Source organism: Homo sapiens, chromosome X (genome assembly GCF_000001405.40).
Source record: "Homo sapiens chromosome X, GRCh38.p14 Primary Assembly".
NCBI classification, from domain to species: Eukaryota; Metazoa; Chordata; class Mammalia; order Primates; family Hominidae; genus Homo; species Homo sapiens.
The window spans coordinates 78,298,790-78,318,920 of NC_000023.11; the positions used below are offsets into that span (position 1 = coordinate 78,298,790).

At 38.9% G+C, this 20,131-nt stretch overlaps 1 protein-coding gene across 4 annotated transcripts in view; it reads right to left on the bottom strand.

The window, feature by feature from the left end:
• Positions 1–20,131, bottom strand: part of CYSLTR1 (cysteinyl leukotriene receptor 1) — a 56,144-nt gene that overhangs the window by 27,322 nt on the left and 8,691 nt on the right. Inside the window, exon 2 of one of the 4 annotated variants that reach the window (NM_001282187.2) lies at positions 16,146–16,228. The exons of 2 other annotated variants lie outside the window; for them this stretch is intronic. The gene's annotated coding sequence lies outside the window, so the exon portion shown is untranslated. Of the gene's footprint in view, positions 1–16,145; positions 16,229–19,820; positions 19,881–20,131 lie in introns of all 4 variants that reach the window. One more of the 4 variants, NM_001282188.2, reaches the window with a different exon arrangement.

The window sequence follows — 20,131 nt, forward strand, 5'->3', positions numbered from 1 at the left end:
AGCATCAGGTCAATGGATCTTGTTTTTTCATCCTTTCAGCCAGTCTATGTCTTTGGATTGGAGAGTTTAGTTCATATACATTCAATGTCATTATTAATAAGTAGGGAGATAATCCTGTCATCTTGTTATTTGTTTTCTGGTTGTTTTATATTCTTCTCTTCCTTCTTTTTTTCTTCCCATTTTCAGTGCAGGTGATTTTTGCTGGTGATATGATTGTTTCTTGCTTATTATTTTTTGTGCATCCATTGTACATTGTTTGGTTTGAGGTTACCATGAGGCCTGTAAATACTATCTTATAATTTATTATTTCAACCTGATAAAAACTTAACACTATTTGCATAAACAAACAAACGAAAAAGCAAGAAGAATACTTATAAAAATTCTATGCCTTAACTTTATCCCACAACTTTTTAACATTTTGTTGTTTGTATTCATATCTTATTGTACAAAATATGTCTTGAAAAGTTGTTGTAGTTATTATTTTTGATTGGTTCATTGTTTAATCTTTCTACTTAGTATATGAGTAGTTCACACACTGAGTTACAATGTTATAATATTATGTGTTTTTCTGTGTACTTACTATTACCAGTAAGTTTTGTACATTCAAGTGATTATTTATTGCTCACTAATGTACTCTTTTCATAATTGAAGTAATCCCTTTAACAGTTCTTATAGGACAGATCTGATGATAATAAAATTTCTCAGTTTTTTTTTTGTCTGGGAAAGTCTTTATTTCTCCTTCATGTTTGAAGGATATTTCCACCAGGTACACTATTTTATGGTAGAATTTTTCTCCTTCAGCACTTTAAATATGTAATGCCACTCTCTCCTGCCCTGTAAGATTTTCACTGAAAAGTATGCTGCCAGAGGTATTGGAGCTTCATTGTATGTTATTTGTTACTTTTCTCATATTGTTTTTCATATCCTTTCTCTATCTTTGACCTCTGAAAATTTTGATTATTAAATGCCATTAGGTAGTCTTCTTTGGGTTAAATCTGCTTGGTGTTCTATAACTTTCTTGCACTTGGATATTGATATTTTTCTCTAGATTTAGTAAGTTCTCTGATACTATCCCTTTGAACATGCTTTCTACCCCTATTTCTTTGTCTACCTCCTCTTTAAAGCTAATCACTCTTAGATTTGCCCTTTTGAGGCTATTTTTTAGATCCTGTAGGAATGCTTCATTGTTTTTTATTATTTTTTCTTTTGTCTCCTCTGGTTATGTATCTTCAAATGGCCTGTCTTGAAGTTTACTAATCCTTTCTTTGGATCAATTCTGCTATTAAAAGACTCTGATGCATTCTTCAACATGTCTATTTCATTTTTCAGCTCCAGGATTTCTACTTGATTCTTTTAAATTATTTTAATCTTTGTTAAATTTACCTGATAGAATTCTGAATTTCTTCTCTGTGTTATCTTGAATTTCTTAGAGTTTCCTCAACAAAGCTATTTTGAATTCTCTGTGTGAATGGTCACGTATCTCTGTTGCTCCAATATTGGTCCTTGGAAACTTATTTAGTTCATTTGGCAAGGTCATGATCTCCTGGATGGTCTTGATACCTGTAGATGTTCATCTGTGTCAGGGCATTGAAAAATTAGGTATTTATTTCAGCATTTGCAGTTTGGGCTTGTTTTTACCTGCCCTTCTTGGGAAGGCTTTCCAGATATTTGAGAGCACTTGGGTGTTGAAATCTAAACTGTATCTGCTTTAGGGGGCACCCCAAGCCCAGCAATGTTTTGGTTCTTTCAGACACATAGAGGTTCCTTGTGCAAGATCCAGGAGAATTCTCTAGATTACCAGACAGAGACTTGTTCTCTTTCTTTACTTTCTTCCAAACAAACAGTGATATAGTTTGGCTGTGTTGCCACCCAAATCTCATCTTGAATTGTAGCTCCCATAATTCCCATGTGTCATGAAAGGGACCTGGTTAGAGGTAATTGAATCATGGGGGCAGGTCTATCCCATGCTGTTCTCATGATAGTGAATAAGTCTTATGAAATATGATGTTTTTCTAAATTGGAGTTCCCCTGTATGAGCTCTCTCTACCAGAGGTTCTTCATGAGGGCCCTGCCCCTCCAGCAAATTTCTGCCTGTACATCCAGGCATTTCCATACATCCTCTGAAATCTAGCTGGAGGTTTCCAAACCTCAATTCTTGACTTCTGTCCACCCACAGGCTCAACACCACATGGAAGCTGCCAAGGCTTAGGGCTTGCACCCTGTGAAGCCACAGCCTAAGCTGTACCTCGGCTCCTTTTAGCCATGGCTAGAGTGGCTGGAATGCAGGGCACAAAGTCTCTAGGCTTCACAAAGCAGGGGTTCCTGGGCCTGGCCCATGAAACCATTTTTTCCTCCTATGCCTCTGGGCCTGTGATGGGAGGGGCTGCTGCAAAGGTCTCTGACATGCTCTAGAGACATTTTCCCCATTGTCTTGGTGATTAACATTTGACTTCTCATTACTTATTCAAATTTCTGCAGCTGACTTGAATTTCTTCTCAGAAAATGGGTTTTTCTTTTCTATTGCATCATCAGGCTGCAAATTTTCTGACCTTTTATGCTCTGTTTCCCTTTTAAAACTGAATGCTTTTAACAGCACCCAAGTAACTTCTTGAATGCTTTGCTGCTTAGAAATTTCTTCTGTCAGATACCCTAAATTATCTCCCTCAAGTTCAGAGTTCCACAAATCTCTAGGGCAGGGGCAAAATGCCACGAGTCTTTTTGCTAAAACATAGCAAGAGTCACCTTTATTCTGGTTCTCAACAAGTTTCTCATCTCCATCTGAGACCACCTCAGCTTGGATTTGATTGTCCATATTATTATCAGCATTTTGGTCAAAGCCATTCAACAAGTCTCTTGGAAGTTCTACTTTCCACATCTTCCTTTCTTCTTCTGAGCCCTCCAAACTGTTTCAACCTCTGCCTGTTACCCAGTTCCAAAGTTGCTTCCACATCTTTGGGTATCTTTACAGCAGCACCCCACTCTTCCAGTACCAAGTTACTGTTATTAGTCTGTTTTCATGCTGCTGATAAAGGCATACCTGAGACTGGGTAATCTATAATGAAAAAGAGGTTTAATTGACTCACAGTTCCAAGTGGTTGGGGAGGCCTCACAATTATGGCAGAAGGCAAAAGCCACACCTTACATGGTGGCAGGCAAGAGAGAAAGCTTGTGCAGGAGAACTCCTCTTTATAAAACCATTGGATCTCATGAGACTTATTTACTATCACAAGAACAGCACTGGAAAGACCCAACCCCGTGATTCAGTTACCTCCCACCAGGTTCCTCCCACGACACATGGGAATTGTGGGAGTTTCAAATCAAGATGAGATTTGGGTGAGGATACAGCCAAACCATATCATCTCCCCTTTTCAAAGGCAGAGGAGCCTCACCCCATGGTCACTGCCACCTCAAGCCCAAAGGGTGTACTCCCAGACTACTGTCAATGTTCCCTTAAGGCCTAAAGGCTCTTTACCAGCTTGTGGTGAATGCTGCCTAGCCTTGGACTCACCCTGCATGGCAGTGGGCTCCCCTCTGGCCCAGGGAAGGTCCAGAAATGCTATCCAAGAGCCAAGTTTTGTAATCAGGGAAACTTAAAGACCACATTGGGGCCCTACATTTTTTTTCTGGCTGAGCTGGTACCTGAGGTGCAAGACAAGGTTCATTTTTACTTCTCCCTCTGCTTTTCTCAAGCAGATGGAGTCTTGCCTCATAGCCACCACAGCTGATAATGTGCCAATTTTCATCTGAAGATAGCAAGTCTCAGAGTGTCACCAAAGGCCCTTGACATAGTAGCTGTGTATTACTGCTGGTTATTCAGGACCTAAGAGGTCTTTAGGTATTAGGTGGTACATACTGACAGGATTGGGTCCTTCCATTCAAGGCAACAGACTTCCTTCTGGCCCAGGGTGTATCTAGAAATGTCCAGGAACTGGGATCTGGAAAAGGGCCTCACGACTCTGACTGGTGCCCTATCCTCTGTGGCTGAGATGGTATTCAAGATGGAAGACAAAGTCCTCCCAACTCTTCTCTGTCCTCTATTCAAGTGGAAGTAAGGGGTCTGTTTTGGAGCCATGAGCTGTGTAGCCAGGGGTTAGGGGAGGAATGATGCCAGCATTCTCTTAGCCACCCCAGCTGTTGTCTCAGTAGGTCATGAGACCACCCCCAAGGTCCACTGTTTCTGGTCCCAGTTCAGCATTAGGACTCTCCTAGGAGTTGCAGTCCTTGTGGCCTGGAGTGTCTTTCAAAATTACTTCAAGCCCCAGAACACTGTAGCCCACAGCATCAAGACTTGTGGGAACTCAAGTTCTGACTGCTGCAGTCTGTAATTCCCCTCTGCCTAGGGCTGGTTTAAATGCCCCCTCCATGGGTGGCCATCAGCTGAGTTTGATCCAGTTTTCCTTTCTGCTGTTACAGGACAGCACTGAGTTCAATGCCTCACAATTGCTGCTCTCTCTCTTCCCGAGCACAAAGAAATACTCTCTGCACCATGCTGCCACTGCTAGGAGATGTGGGAGGGATGAGTTGGCAATTCAAGACTGTTTTTTCTACCTCTTCAGTGCCTCTTTCAGCATTACAAAGTTAAAATCAGGTGCTATGAGAGCTCACCTGATTTTTGGTTCTTACAAAGGTTTTTTTTTAATGTAGATAGTTGTTAAATTGGTGTCCTTGTGAGGTGTGTGTGGGCGCAATCAGTGGAGCCTTCTATTTTACCATCTTGCTCCACCTCGAGTCCCTGGTCATTCAATTTAAACTTCCCCATTAATCCTACCCCAGTCCCACTAGACTGTCAAGGCAATGAATAAGTCATTCTTTTGGTATATCCTGCTGTATGTAGTACAGTGCCCTTTAAATATTAATTTATTTGAGTTAATCCATTTTCTGTATGATTTAATTGATGTCTTGTCAAAATCAGTGACAATTGTTGCGTGGACAAAGACAATAAACATAGTGGAAAATTCATAGGACTATTAGGCCAAAGATTTGGATTATACCTCAGGCTTCAGTGGATGATTAATTGAGTGATCTTGGGCAAATCACTTCTTTTTTTATGATCTCTTCACTTATCTGTTATACAATAGGGCTTGAATTATATGATCTCTGAAGTCCCTTCTAACCTACCATACTATAAATCTGTGAATCAGGGTATTTCTGTTTTTTGAGAGCTGTAGGATAAGAGATTTATAGTTTCAATGAAGAGAAACACGGACATAAGTTGTTTGTGATCTTGACTTAAGACTACTAGATGTTCCCTGAACTTCTTCTAGGTGATATCTGAGAGAAAGACTCAATTCTTCTTTGAGTGTATTAGCTGTGCTCAGAATACAGGCTTGGTCAGGCACTCTAAAGGCAGCACAGTTCTAGATTTGAAAGTGATTTCTAAACAAAGTGCTAAATTTATGATTTAAAGTTGTCTCACTTGTCAAAGCCCACAGGTCTTTCTTCCTGGACTTATCCTTTTTGTTTTACAAGTTATGCCATCTCTGGTTCTGACTATAGCACCACCATTCTTCAGGCCTTCTAAGAGAGAAACTCCTGAAATCGTATTTGATAGCTCATTTTTATCATTTGTTGTATGAGAAGTCCATCCTGCTTGATCGTATTGTGGCGTGCCAGGTTTCACTAACTCAGACCTCCGTAATAACTATTTCAATACTGACTGAGTGGTTAAGTTAAATATTAAAAGCCAGTGCCCTTATGTGAGAGCTGGAATTTAACAAAGAGTCCACCAAGAGTTTTGCCTAGGCTTTTCCTGGGCCTTAAAGCATGACAAAATAATGAAGGAATTCTTAACAGGACCCATTTAGGATTAAACAAACTTTATTGGGGGTCTGAAGAAACTCCCCAGGCCTCCACAAAGAAGTTTATTGGGGTCTAAAGGAACTCCCCAAACCTCCGTGACTTAGCAGGAGACAAGATAAGGGTAATCACCTCAGCACCTAGACCCATTTAGATTAAGTAAATTTACTGAGGCTCCAGAGGAAGATCTTCAAAACTCAGACCTTAGTTATAGATTCAAATAAGTTAATTGCTATGTCTTTAGATGAATGCACACTTACACATAGACATATAGCTTAGAAGGTATATAAACTCTGGAAAACTTTGTAATTTTGAGTTGGTCTGGTGATAATTTCTAAGCCTTCTCCCTGTAATCGGTTACAGAAATAAAAGCTCTCTTCCCCCAGTGCATCTACATCTTGTTATTGGGCCAGGAGAAATATCAGCCCGACCCTCAGTTTGGTCTGGAAACAGTATGGCTTCAAGATTCCAAATCCAATGATCCATTTGTTCATATCTTAGCTGATGCCTGAAATCTACTCTATAGAGTTTCTAACAGGCTTTGATTCCCAGGAAAGTATATCTCTTCCTTAATGTGGACCATTTTGGTTCTTGGGCCCTTAATAACTTAAACAAATGAGTCCTCTTTGCCCCAAGTAAAAACATTTGTAACTTGTTTTGCTCCAACAAAGTGCAATAAATAAAGCCTTTGACTTTAGTAAAACAATTGCTCTTTTTTGTATATTTTTGGAAATTTTCTCACAGTCTTCTGGGAACCAAATTCCAGAATTAAGGCAATCTCTTCAGATTGTTTTAGAGTCCAAATCCCTAAAAGCAAACAAACTTCCACCCTCACCCTTCTGATCAAAGTTGTCCCTGACAGCTCCCCTGATTAGGGTTGTTGGAGACATCAGATATACTTGAGTACCTTCCAAGATATTACTTATAAGGAAAAAAATTTATTTTTTTTCTAGATTGGATAAATAGCAACATCAAAATGGATATTTCATTGCTTAGAAGATGATCCTAAGATTTATTCATCTTGCTTCACTGAAATTTTATGCCCATTCCTCACCTTCCCAGCAGCCCCTGGCAAATGCCATTCTAGTTTCTGATTCTATAAATTTGACTATTTTAGATATTTCATTTAAGTGGAATAAGTGCAGTATTTATCTTTCTGTGATTGGGTTATTTTGCTTAGCATAACGCCCTCAAGGCTCATCCATGCAGTTGCATATTACAGAATTTCCTTCCTTTTTTGTGGCTGGATTATATTCAATTTTATGCATATACCACCTTTTCTTTGCTCATTCATCTGCCAATGGGCATTTGGCAGAACTATTTACAATAGCTAAGATTTGGAAGCAATCTAAGTGTTCATCAACAGATGAATGGATAAAGGAAATGTGGTACATATACACAGTGGAATACTATTTGGCCATAAAATTAGATCCAGTAATTTGCAACAACATATATAGAACTAGAGATCATTATGTTAAGTGAAAAGAGAAATAAGCCAGGAACAGAAAGACAAACATCACATGTTCTCACTTATTTGTGGGATCTAAAAATCAAAACACTAGAACTTATGGTCGTTGAGGGTTTTTCTTTTTTTTTGAGAGGAGGTTTCGCTCTGTCACACAGGCTGGAGTGTAATGGCATGATCTTGGCTCACGGCAATCTCTGCCTCCCAGGTTTAAGCAATTCTTCTGCCTCAGCCTCCTGAGTAGCTGGGATTACAGGTGCCCGCCACCATGCCCGGCTAATTTTTGTATTTTTAGTAGAGACCGTGTTTCACCATGTTGGCAAGGTTGGTCTCGATCTCCTGACCTCAGGTGATCTGCCTGCCTCAGTTTCCCAAAGTGCTGGGATTACACGCACGAGCCACTGCACCCAGCCTCCATTGAGGGTTTTTAGTTTTATTCTATACCATCTCTTATTTATAGTAAGTGCCCTGTTTTATAAATAAAGACTTCTTTTTATAGTAAATGACTTCTCCTTTAAGAAAGGAGAAAAATTAGCTTAATTTTCTAATGAAGCAAATACAATATGGATAAAGTGGCAATAACACAATAGTCTTTGTCCAAGATTGGTCTGAGTTTGAATCATTATTTCTTCACTTAGCTGTGTGACCTTGGGCAAGTTACTTAACTTCTCTGATACTGTTTCCTCATCTGTAAAATGAAGATAATAAAGGAGAAAAGACAGCAAAAGGGTATCAGAGAGGAAAAAAATGAAAAATGTGTAGTATTGTAGAATCCAAAGGAGTGGTTTTTAAGAAAGATTGTGGTCATTGGTTTGAAATGTTCCAAAAGACCAAAGAGAATGAAGTTTGTAAAATGACAATTGGACTTGGTAATTAGGAGGCCAGTGGTGATCTGGGAGAAAATATTTTCAATGAAGTAATAAATTTTTAACTAAATTACAAGGATTAAAACTTTTAACGTGACTTTTCAACCTCTGTTTGGATTGTCATTGTGAATAAAAAGAGAAAAAGAAAGAAAGAAGATGTGAAGGTGTGTTAGTTTTCTATAGTGTAACAAATTACCACCAACTAAAAACAACATCCAATTATTTTCTCATGGTTTCTGTGGGTTGGGAGTTTAGTTAAAAACTGGGTCTTCTGCTTAGCATCTCACAACACTGCAATCAAATTGTCAGCCAGAACTAGTATCTCCTCCGAGGCTTAAGGTCCTTTTCCAAGATGATTTGTCATTAGCAGAATTCTTTCCTTGCAGTTGTGTGACTGAGGTCCCATTTTATTGCTAGCTGTTGACCAGGGATGACTCTCATCTCCTAAAGGCTACCTTCAGGCCCTTGACACATGGTCTTATTATCTTACAACATTGCTGTTTGTTTTCTTCCAGGCCATCAGGAGAGATATCTCTCCTCGAAATCTTTCTGATACTTTCTCTGATGTCTAGACCTCCTATTAAAGGGCTCATCTGAATAGTAGGCCCAGGATAATCCACTATTTGATAAACTGAAAATCAATGAATTGGTAACCTAATCAAGAAATGAAATCCCATTATATCCACAGGTCCCACTCAGACTCAAGGGGAGGAGTTTATACAGGACTTGTACATCAGGGGACAAGAATACTTGGGGTCATCTTTGAATTTTGCCTACCAAAGAGTGAATGTCTAGGAGGGATTTTCTGAGGAGGAAAATGTGTTCTAAAGCCAAGCTATAAAAATCCCTAAGAGTGGCAGCAGCAGAAGTGTGGACTTGTAAATAAAAATGTTTGAGTGATTAGTCAAGGTGCTTCAGGTGAATATTTACTTATCTCAGACATATTTCTGGCAAGGTGGGAGTGAAACAGAGTAGAGTCTGCATATAAATGCTCCAAACAAAAAGAGTTTATCAGGGATCTTTGGCCTGAGTCCAGGTGAGGTTTCTATGCCAAAGTATAGCAAAATCTGGGGATGCAGTTGAGGTTTCCAAGGTAAAGGGAGGTTTTTGTAGTGCTGAAAGAAGCTCTTGAAAAAAAAAAGCACATGGTACCATTAAGGAGGGAATCAATGGGGAAACAAAACTGTCCAGTTGCCTGATTGGTGTGGAGGAGCAGACTGTACCTTATTTCCCCAAGTGTTGCAGAAAACAGTAATGTAGTTACATTCCTCTTAGAAATACATAGCCATGTATCCATTCTTAGTGAGTAGAATGAAATGGAAGTGGCCTTATAACTGTGTATGTAAATGGTACGTGAAAAGTTATTAATTGAATTAAATTGGATTGAATTAAACTGATTTTGATTATATGATTAATCATTTATGGTTTTGTCATAAATAAAAAGAAATGTCTGCTGAATCTTGTTTACCTAAGCCTTAATTACCCCAAACTATTAATTTAATTAATTCAGCTAAATTTCCTGAGGTTCAAGTGAAAGTTTAAATAATAGGGCTGGAAATGGAGCCTCTAAGTTTAATTTTTATATCTAGAAAGATTTTGGTAAAGATACTGACAAGATCAGCTTATATTAAATACTAAGATGTACTAAGAAGAAATCAAGCTGGAATTGTAAAGAGCCCACCAGCCTGATTTGAAACTTTAAATTTTATAAAATATGGTCTAACCATAGAACTTACTACTTTCTGCCTAGTGTTATTATATGCATTCATTCAAAAATATTTTTCTAAGCCTCTATTATGTCCATTTATGTACTTGGCTTAGTGCTTCTTAACTGAAACTCCTTAGGACAGGGAGCAGGTTTCACTCATCTTTGTGCTCTCTTAGAGCTTAACTCAGGGCTTGGGACATGGTAAGCCCTCACTAGGTGTTACTGCTTGGCATTGAATTGGTGGCAGGGATTATGTGTGAGGATGACACCTGATCTGTGTTTCCCTGGGAGAGATATAGCTATATTTCACAGGATTGGGCTTTGTCTACCACTGCGTTATTAATATCCTCAATTATAGGCAAGGAAAGAGAGTCATTATTTTATGCAGATGTTGTCAACTGGTGGATGGAAGTTAAAAATCTGAATAACTGAAAAATTAAATGAGATAGGAGGTAGGACTAAGGTGAATGCCAAGTAAATTTGTGTAGTTTGTCAAATACCAGTCAAGAAATGTACTGTTTAGTTGCAAGTAGAGCTAGAGAGAGAAGGCGGGAGAGAGAGAAGAAAAATTGGTATAAGTGTGCAAAGTATATCAGCAATGAAGAGGTAGTCCTGATTGAACACCACATTGATCACACCTTCTCCCTTTTTAGAAGCCCCTTATTGTTTACAGGAAAAGGTATAATTCCTGTCCCATTCGATGGTACTGAATGACTTCTCAGGACCCCTCCTGTTACTATAAACCTATTAGCATAATATGAAATTTGATTCTCTAAGGTGTATTCAATTCTTTGAAAAATTCTTCCAGTAATTCCTGGGCACCCTTTAGAATAAGAAATGGCATGACAAAGAGTAACTTATCAGTGTTCTGGTGTTCAGGCTTTCACAAGGATTTGAGACCAAATATGATCACGAAGTGAATAATATGAAAAGAGATGACAGCTATGTTCCCACACAACTGTGAGGTGAACCAAGTCACTTTGAACAGGTAATAAAAAGGGGTATGTGTCAGGTTACTGAAAACAATTATCAAGCAGAGTTACTCAGTGAAAGGAAGCTACCAGAAGAGGCTATAAAAATCTCTGTTTGGGATTGAATGACTTAGTTTTATAGAATGTTAGAGATGGAAGAGCACTTGGAGAACATCTAATACACTCCCCTCATGACCCGGAAAGTTAAAATGACTGCTGAAAGTAACAGACAGAATTAGTGGCAGAGTAAAGACAAACCATATAATTAAGTTTCAGATTCCACAAAGCCTTTCAATAGACACTGGCACAAGACAAATTCATATACTGCTACAAATCATGACAGTTAAATATACTGTTGTACAAAGGACTGCACAAAAGGCAAGGATTGATCCATTATTTTTGCTCTTTGTTTACAATGTGGGAATACTGTTTGCTGAATTTAAAATTTACAAATTTCTTTTTAATTTTCTTGTTTATCTTCTGTTCAATCTGTCCTTATCACTTATGATGAATTATTCTTAAAGCACAGTTCAAATCATATCCTTTCCCTCTCAGAGGTCTCCAGTGGCCTATTAATTAACCTCAAAGAACTATTCAAGACTACAATAATATTCCCTCCTAACTGCATAGAGTTACTTTCCTGTTGTTTACCATATGTGTATCATGCAAATTATGCTATGAATAGCTCCATCTCTCCTTTTGTCTCTTTTTCTTTGCTCAGGGCATTTTAGGGATGGCAAAATGCTGTATTGCCATTTATAAAATGCCCTTTGTCGTCATCACTATTATATGTAATTCTAACCATCGTTAAGACAATCTCTTATATCACCTCTTCCCTAAAAACTTTCTAGATGCTCTGTATTGCTTTGAAATACTAGTTATATTAAAGGAGATGGATTAGCCACTTAATATGTATCAATTCGGTGCTAGATATTTGGAAAACAAGACACAGACCTTGCCCACTAAGGGCTTACAGTCTACTAGAAGAAGACACAAGTATGTTAACAAATAAATGCACTGCATTATTACAGCTGCTGTGATAGAAGTTGATAAAGGACACAGAGCATAAAAGTAGTAAATGGGTGCATGTATTTGTAGAAAAGGCTTTATGAAAGAGAGAAGGGTGGGGCATATGGGGAAGAGTATCCTAGGTAGGAGGAGAAAGTAGAATGAGCAAGGAATGGAGGTGTGAAGTAGCCTGGCATATTTAAGGAACATCTAACATTTTGATATGGCTAAAATATAAGATGAAAGTAGTATGCATGTGCGTGTATGTGTGTTTGGGCGTGTGTGGGTGTGTGGGCGTGTGTGTGTGTGTGATTGGACTATGGGGCTTAAAAGTGAGAAATTAGGTAGAAAAGAAATGCAGAAAGTATATCCTAAAGGGTGTTATATACCATTCTAGATAATTTGAGTTTATCTTCTAGGGAATTGAAAGCTACTACAGCATGCAGAGTGAGAAAAGAATACTGATATATAAGGGAAAGAGGAAGTAGAGCTGTAAATATAGAGGTTGCCCATCCCTGAGAGGTTTAATTTTCTTGATAAAATAAGAGACAATATTATCTGCTGAGAAAAAGAAATGGGCTGCAGTAGGGTTCAGCTCATTGAAAGATTGGTGGAGGTTGGAATAATTGGCTCTGTAGAATGGGAGAGAAATATGACCAAGAAGGGACTGATGGCCCAATTGAGGTTTGAGAATGTGAATTTTTAACAGCCCCAGTCTGCATGATTGTGTGATTTATTCCAGTAGTGCTCAGCAAGCACCCTGGGTGTAGGAGAGAAAATACACAAATGTTTCAATTGATCTAAAACCGGGGGCCACAGAGCAAATGTTATGAAAGGACAATGGAGTAAGGAAGTTAAGAATGCTTCCAAAGAAGTCCTAGACAAAGCAATTAGGCAAGGCAAAGCAATAAAAGGCATTCAAATAGGAAAAGAAGAAGTCAAACTATCTCTCTGCTGCTGCTGATTATATACATAGAAAACCTTAAAGACACTGCAAAGAAACTCCCAGAACTAACAAAAAATTCAGTAAAGTTTCAGAATATAAAATCAATGTACAAAAATCAGTCACATTTGTGTACACCAAAAACATTTTAGCTAAGAACCAAATCAAGAACACAATTCCATTTACAATAGCCACAAAAATTGAAATAGCTAGAAATTTATCTAATCAAGAAGATTAAAGAGCTCTACAAAGAGAATAACAAAACACTGCTAAAAGAAATCAGAGATGATACAAATAAATGGAAAAATATTCGATGCTCATAGAGTGGAAGAATCAATATTGTTAAAATGGCCATACTGCCCAAAGCCATTTATGGATTTAATGTTATCCCTATCAAAATACCAATGTTATTTTTCACAGTTAGAAAAATGAATTCTAAAAATTCATATGAAACCAAAGAAAGCCTAATTTACCAAAGCAATTGTAAGCAAAAGGAACAAAGCTTGAGTCATCACATTACTCAACGTCAAACCATACTATAAGACTACAGTAACCAAAATAGCATGATACTGGTACAAAAACAGACACATACACCAATGGAACACAATATAGAACCCAGAAATAACCTGCACACCTACAACCATCTGATCTTTGACAAAATTGACAAAAATAAGCAATGGGGAAAGGACTCCCTATTCAACAAATGGTGCTGGGATAACTGGCTAGCCATATGCAAAAGAATGGACCCTATACCTCTCACTATATACAAAAATTAACTGAAGATGAATTAAAGTTTTAAATGGAAAACCTCGAACCTTAAAATACTAGAAGAAAACCTAGGAAACACCCTTCTCAAGATTGATTTTGGCAAATAATTTATGGCTAAGTCCCTAAAATCAATTCCAACAAAAACAAAAATAAACAAGTAGAACCTAATTTAACTAAAGAATTTCTGCAAAGCAAAAGAAATTACCAACAAAGTAAATATACAGCTTACAGAATGGGAGAAAATATTTGCAAGCTGTACACCTGACAGAGGTCTAATATCCGGAATCTATAAGGAACATAAATCAACAAGCACAAAATAATCCAATTTAAAAATGGGGAAAGAACAGGAACAGACCCTTCTTAAAAGAAGATGTACAAGCAACCAACAAACATAAAAAATACTCAACATCACTAATCACCAGAGAAATGCAAATTAAAACCACAGTAAAATACCATCTCATAACAGTCAAAATGGCAATTAGTAAAAAGCTAGAAAATAACAGATGCTGGTGAGGCTGTGGAGAAAAGAGAGTGCTTATACACTGTTAGTGGGAATGCAAACTAGTTCAGTCACTATGGAAAGCAGTTTGGAGATTTGTTGAAAAACTTTAAATGGAACTCTATTTGACTCAGCAACCCCACTAGTGGCTATATAGCCAAGGGAAAATAATTAAGTCTATCAAAAATACATCCATGCACATATTCATCAAACTGCTATTCACAATGGCAAAGATGTGGAATCAACATAAATGGCCATCAATGATAGACTGGTTAAAGAAAATGTGGTACATATATACCATGAAGTACTATGCAGCTATATAAAAAAACAAAATCATGTCCTTTGCAGCAAGATGGACGGAGCTGGAGGCAATTATTCTAAGCAAATTAACATAGGAACAGAAAACCAAACACCACATTTCCTTGCTTACAAGTGGGAGCTAAATATTGAATACATATAGACATAAATATTGGAACAATGGACACTGGAGACTACCTGATGGGGGAGAAAGGGAAGTGGGCATGGGCTGAAAAAATACCTATTGGGTACTATGTTCCCTACCTGGGTGTTGAGATCATTTGTACCCCAAACCTCAGCATTATGCAGTATACTCATATAACAAACTGCACAATGTACCCCTTAATCTAAATAAAAGTTGAAACCAGAAAAAATAAAATTAGCAACAATAGAATGCAACCAAAATAATAGCTAAAAGTAAAATTATGAAGAAATTTAATAGATTGGCAGAAAAGGGAGAGCACAAAAGACTTGAAGACTCACTGAGATGTATGAACTGGTGTAGTGGTAAAAGGGGGTGTCTGAAAGTCTATGGGCTTTAGTCAGAGTGTTGTACATTGGAGTTCCAAATTTCAGTTCTGTGGTGACAAATAAGGCCCTGGACGTGGGCATGGAATGAGTAACCAAGATGGAATGTGAATGGACATTGTTTCAGATAAGGTGGTAAGAAAAATTGAAGTCAGTTTGTTGGGTTGGTTGTTCACATGGAAGATGACGTTACCAAAGTGATCATATAATTTAGGGGGTAGAGAGGAGAACTGTCTAAGAGGTTGACAGACGATGTGAATAAGAAAGATTAGAGGGTGACATAGATGAATGTCTTTTTGCATTATGGTAGAAAAGTAATGATTTAGAGTAGCATCAGCGAGCCAAGAGACAGCTAATAGATTCTGGCTCACAGTATATGGGATGTAGAAAAATAAGCAGCACACTTTTGATGAGAAAGACCAAGGTTAGCTTAAGGCAAGGACACGGTGAGAGAATTATTTGAAGAGGTTTAGGACATAGGAGAATTTACTCATAATGGAAAGGGTGTTTCAGAAGGCACAGTAAATAAAGGGTTAGAAAGGTCAGATGTGGAAGAATTAGGAGGAAGGAAGTACAGTGTATTCTCAGGATGTTAGAACCTTGGAGAACACTTGACTAGAGAGTTGATGATTCACCCACAGAATTCAAATTTCTGTTTTCACTTAATTTGTCTCTAGCTCTTCTTTGTACTTTTCAAAAATAGTAATTGTATCAGAGGATGGAGCAAGAAGGCAGAATGGAAGGCTCCACCAATTGTCTTCCCTGCAGGTATGTCACTTTAACAACTAGCTACAAAAAAATCACCTTCACAAGAACCAAAAATTAGGTGAGTACTCATAGTACCTGGTTTTAATTTCATATTGCAGAAAGAGGCACTAAAAAGGTAGAAAAAACAGCTTTGAATTACCAATGCCACTAATCTCCTATTCCCTAGCAGTGACAGTGTGGTGGGAAGAGTGTTTCTGTGTGCCAGAGAGGGAGAGTGCAGAAATTGTGAGGCATTGAACTCAGTGCTGTCCTATTAGAGCAGAAAGAAGAACTGGATGAAACTCAACTGACACCTGCCCACAGAGAGAGCATTTAAACCAGCCTTAGTCAGGGGAGAATTACTCACTCCAACAGTCAGAACTTGAGTTCCTGCATGCCTTGCCACCAGGGGTAAAGTGCCCTGGGGCTCTAAATAATCTTGAAAGGCAGCCTAGGCTGCAAGGACTGCAACTCCTAGGAACGTCCTAGTGCTAAACTGTGCCCAGATACAGTGGACTAGAGAAGCATGTGACCTACAGAGACACCAACCAGGCCAAGAGAGCGCTTATATCATCCTTCTTCTTATCCCAGGCTGCACAGCTTGCAAGTCCAAAATAGATGCCTTCCTTCTGCTTGAAGAGACAAAAGAGAAAAGTGGGGAGGACTTTATCTTGCATCTTGGATACCACCTCATCCATAGCAGGATAGGGCACCTGTTAGAGCTATGAGGCCCCCTTTCCAGGCCCTAGCTCCTGAATGACATTTCTAGACATACTCTGAAGGGAACCTGCTGCCTTGAAGGGAAGGACCTAGTCCTGGCAACACTCATCACCGGCCAACTGAAGAGCCCTTGGGCCTTGAATAAACAGAAATGATATCCAGGTACATTGCTGATGGTCTTTGGTGACACAGAGCTGCTGGCTTCAGGTGAAACAGCATATTCCAAGCTCTGGTGGCTGAGGCAAGATTCCTTCTGCTTCGGAAGGGAGAGAAAAAAGTGAGGGGAATTTGGTCTTACACCTTATATGCCAGCTTGGCCACAGGGAGGTAGACCACCAAATGACCTCGCAGGGTCCTCAAATCAAGTATATGGCTCTCATATGGCATTTCTGTATGTTTCTTGGGCTGGAAGGGAGCCTACTGTTCTGTAGGGTGAGTCCCAGGCTGGGCAGCATTGACTACAAGCTGACTGAAGGGAACTTGGCCCTTAAGGGAACATTGGTGGTAGTCTGGCAGTAGTCTCCATGGGTCTATAGTTATGGTGGCCATGAGATGAGGCTTCTCTGCTTTGGAATGGGGAGGGAAGAGTGGGAAGGACTGCATTTTGTAATTTGAGTGCCAACTCAGGTGCAGTGCAATAGCACACCAGGTAGACATCTAAGCATTTTGATTCTAGTCCCTGACTCCTGAACGGCACCACAGGACCCACCCAAAGAATGGGGAAACTTACTACTATTAAGAGAGGGACACAAGCCTGGCTGGGTTTACCACCTGCTGATTATAGATCCCCAGGGCCTTGAGTAAACATAGACAGTAGCCAGGGAGTGGTTACAGCAGGCCTGGGGTGATACCCAGTGCTGTGCTGACCCAGCACAGTCATAGTGGTGGTAGCCACAGGGATGCTTGTGTCACTCCACCCTCAGCTTTAGGTGGTTCACGATGGAGAGACAGAGAGACTACATTTGTTTGTAAGAAAGTAAGGGAAGAGAACAAGAATCTCTGCCTGGCAATCTGTAGAATTTTCCCACATCTTATCCAAGACCATCAAGGTAAAAGTAGCAGTGGGAAGAGCCTTATAGGCGCTCCCATTATCCAGCTTGAGCCCAGTGAAGCCATCCCTGACTGTATGTCACAGGGGCCTTTGGGGAACGCACCCAGTGGAATTAGGGAGGGGTCACAGGGTGTAAGAAGTTTCCAACTGGATTTTGCAACAATTTCAACTGGGCACTAACTTTCTTGAGCAAAAGCCAGGGAGCAAATGGGAACTGCTGCAGATATGAATGCAGGAGCCACAGCTGACACTGTGGGCAGATAGGAAGGGGTGAGACCTGAAAGCCAAGTTTGCTTGCTCAGCGGGGAAGCTTATGGCCTGGGAAAAGTTCTGAGTTCTGCAAAAGCAAGCTGCCTGGATCTAAACTTGGCACCATTAGTGGAGCACTATAGGAGCGAGGCTGGCCTTGCCAACTGTGTGGGAGGTGGGTGAGGCCTTTCACTACCAGCTATCCCCCACTTCTCTTGTGAACTATATGGCACAATAGAACCAATGGAACAGAATAGAGAACCCCAAAATAAAGCCAAATACTTACAGTCAACTGATCTTCAACAAAGCAAACAAAAACATAAACTGGGAAAGGACATCCTATTCAGAAAATGTTGCTGAAATAATTGGCAAGCCACACGTAGAAGAATGAAACTGGATCCTTGTCTTTCACTTTACACAAAAATCAACTCAAGATGTATCAAATACTTAAATCTAAGACCCAAAACCATAAAAACTCTAAAAAATAACATTGGAAAAATTCTTCTAGATGTCGGCTAAGGCAGACTTCATGACCAAGAACCCAAAAGCAAATACAACAAAAACAACAATAAATAGATGAGACAAATTTAAACTAAAAGAATTCTGCACAGCAAAAGAAATAATTAGTACAGTAAACAGACAACCCACAGAATGGGAGAAAATATTTGCAAACTATGCATCTGACAAACAACTAATATCCAAAGTCTACAACAACTCAAATAAATCAGCAAGAAAAAAACAAATAATCCCATCACAAAGTGGAAAAGGGACATGTATAGACAATTCTCAAAAGAAGATATACAAATGACCAACAAACATATGACAAAATACTCAACATCACTAATTATCTGGGAAATGCAAATTAAAACCACAATGAGATACTGCCTTACTCCTACAAGACTTAATTAAAAAATTAAAAAATAATAGATGTTGGCATGGGTGTGGTGAAAAGGGAATACTTTTACACTGCTGGTGGAAATGTAAACTAGTACAACTACTATGGAAAACAGTATGGAAATTACTTAAAGAACTAAAAGTGGAATTATCATTTGATCCAGCAATACTACTATTGGGTTTCTACCCAAAGGAAAAGAAGTCATTATATGAAAAAGACACATGCACATGCATGTTTATAGTAGCACTATTCACACTTGCAAAAATATGGAACCAGCCTAAATGCCCATCAACCAATGACTGTATAAAAAATGTTGTATATCTACACCATAGAATACTACTCAGCCATAAAAATAAATGAAATTATGGCATTTGCAGCAATCTGGACAGAGTTGGAGACCATTATTCTAAGTGAAGTAGATCAGGAATGGAAAACCAAACATTTATATATTCTCCCTTATATGTGGGAGCTAAGCTATGAGGATGCAAAGATGTAAGAATGATATAATGGACTTTGGGGACTCGGGGAAGGGTGGGAAGGGAGTGAGGGCTAAAAGACTACACATTGCGTACAGTGTACACTGCCTGGGTGATGGGAGCACTGAAATGTCAGAAATCATCACCAAAGAACTTATGCATGTAACCAGAAACCACCTGTTCCCCCAATACTATTAAAATTAAATTTAAAAGGCCTAGAGACAGAAATACCATTCGACACAGTAACCCCATTACTGGGTATATACCTGAAGGAATATAAATTCTTCTATTATAAGGACACATGCATGTGTATGTTCATTGCAGTACTATTCACAATAGCAAAGACATGGAATCAACCTACATGCCCATCAATGGTAGACTGAATAAAGAAAATGTGTCACATATACACCATGGAATACTATGCAGACACAAAAAGGAATGAGATTATGTCCTTTGTAGGGACATGGATGGAACTGGAGCCCATTATTCTTAGCAAACTAATGCAGGAACAGAAAATCAAACACCGCATATTCTCACTTATAAGTGATAGCTAAATGATGAGCACTCATGGACACATATAAGGGAACAACACACACTGGGGCCTATTGGAGGGCGGAGGATGGGAAGAGGGAGAGGATCAGGAAAAATAACTAAGGGATATTAGGTTTAATACCTTGGTGACAAAATAATCTGTACAACAAACCCCATTTACCTATGTAACAAACCTGCACATCCTGCACATGTACCCCTGAACTTAAGAAGAAGTTAAAAATAAAAAGAAAACTTTCATGCAAATAACAAATCTCTGTCCACCACAGCCACAAATGACTTACCTAAACTTTAGTCTATCATTTTCAGCTGCTTATTAGATTGCTCTACTTGGATCTCTTGTCCTTTAAAAAATTTCAAACATATTTTCAGATAAAACAACCTTCTCTTCAAAATTAACTTCCCCACCTTATGTTTCTATTTTTTCAATGACAGTAATAGTCTTCCAGTAAGTCAGGCATAGAACCTGGCAGTCATCTTTGACTCCACCCTATCCTTATTTTATCCCTCGAGTCCTGTTGATTCTTATTTTGCAATGCCTCCTGACCCTTTGTTTCTTTTTTTTTTTTTTAACCAACTTAGTTCAGCATCCTTA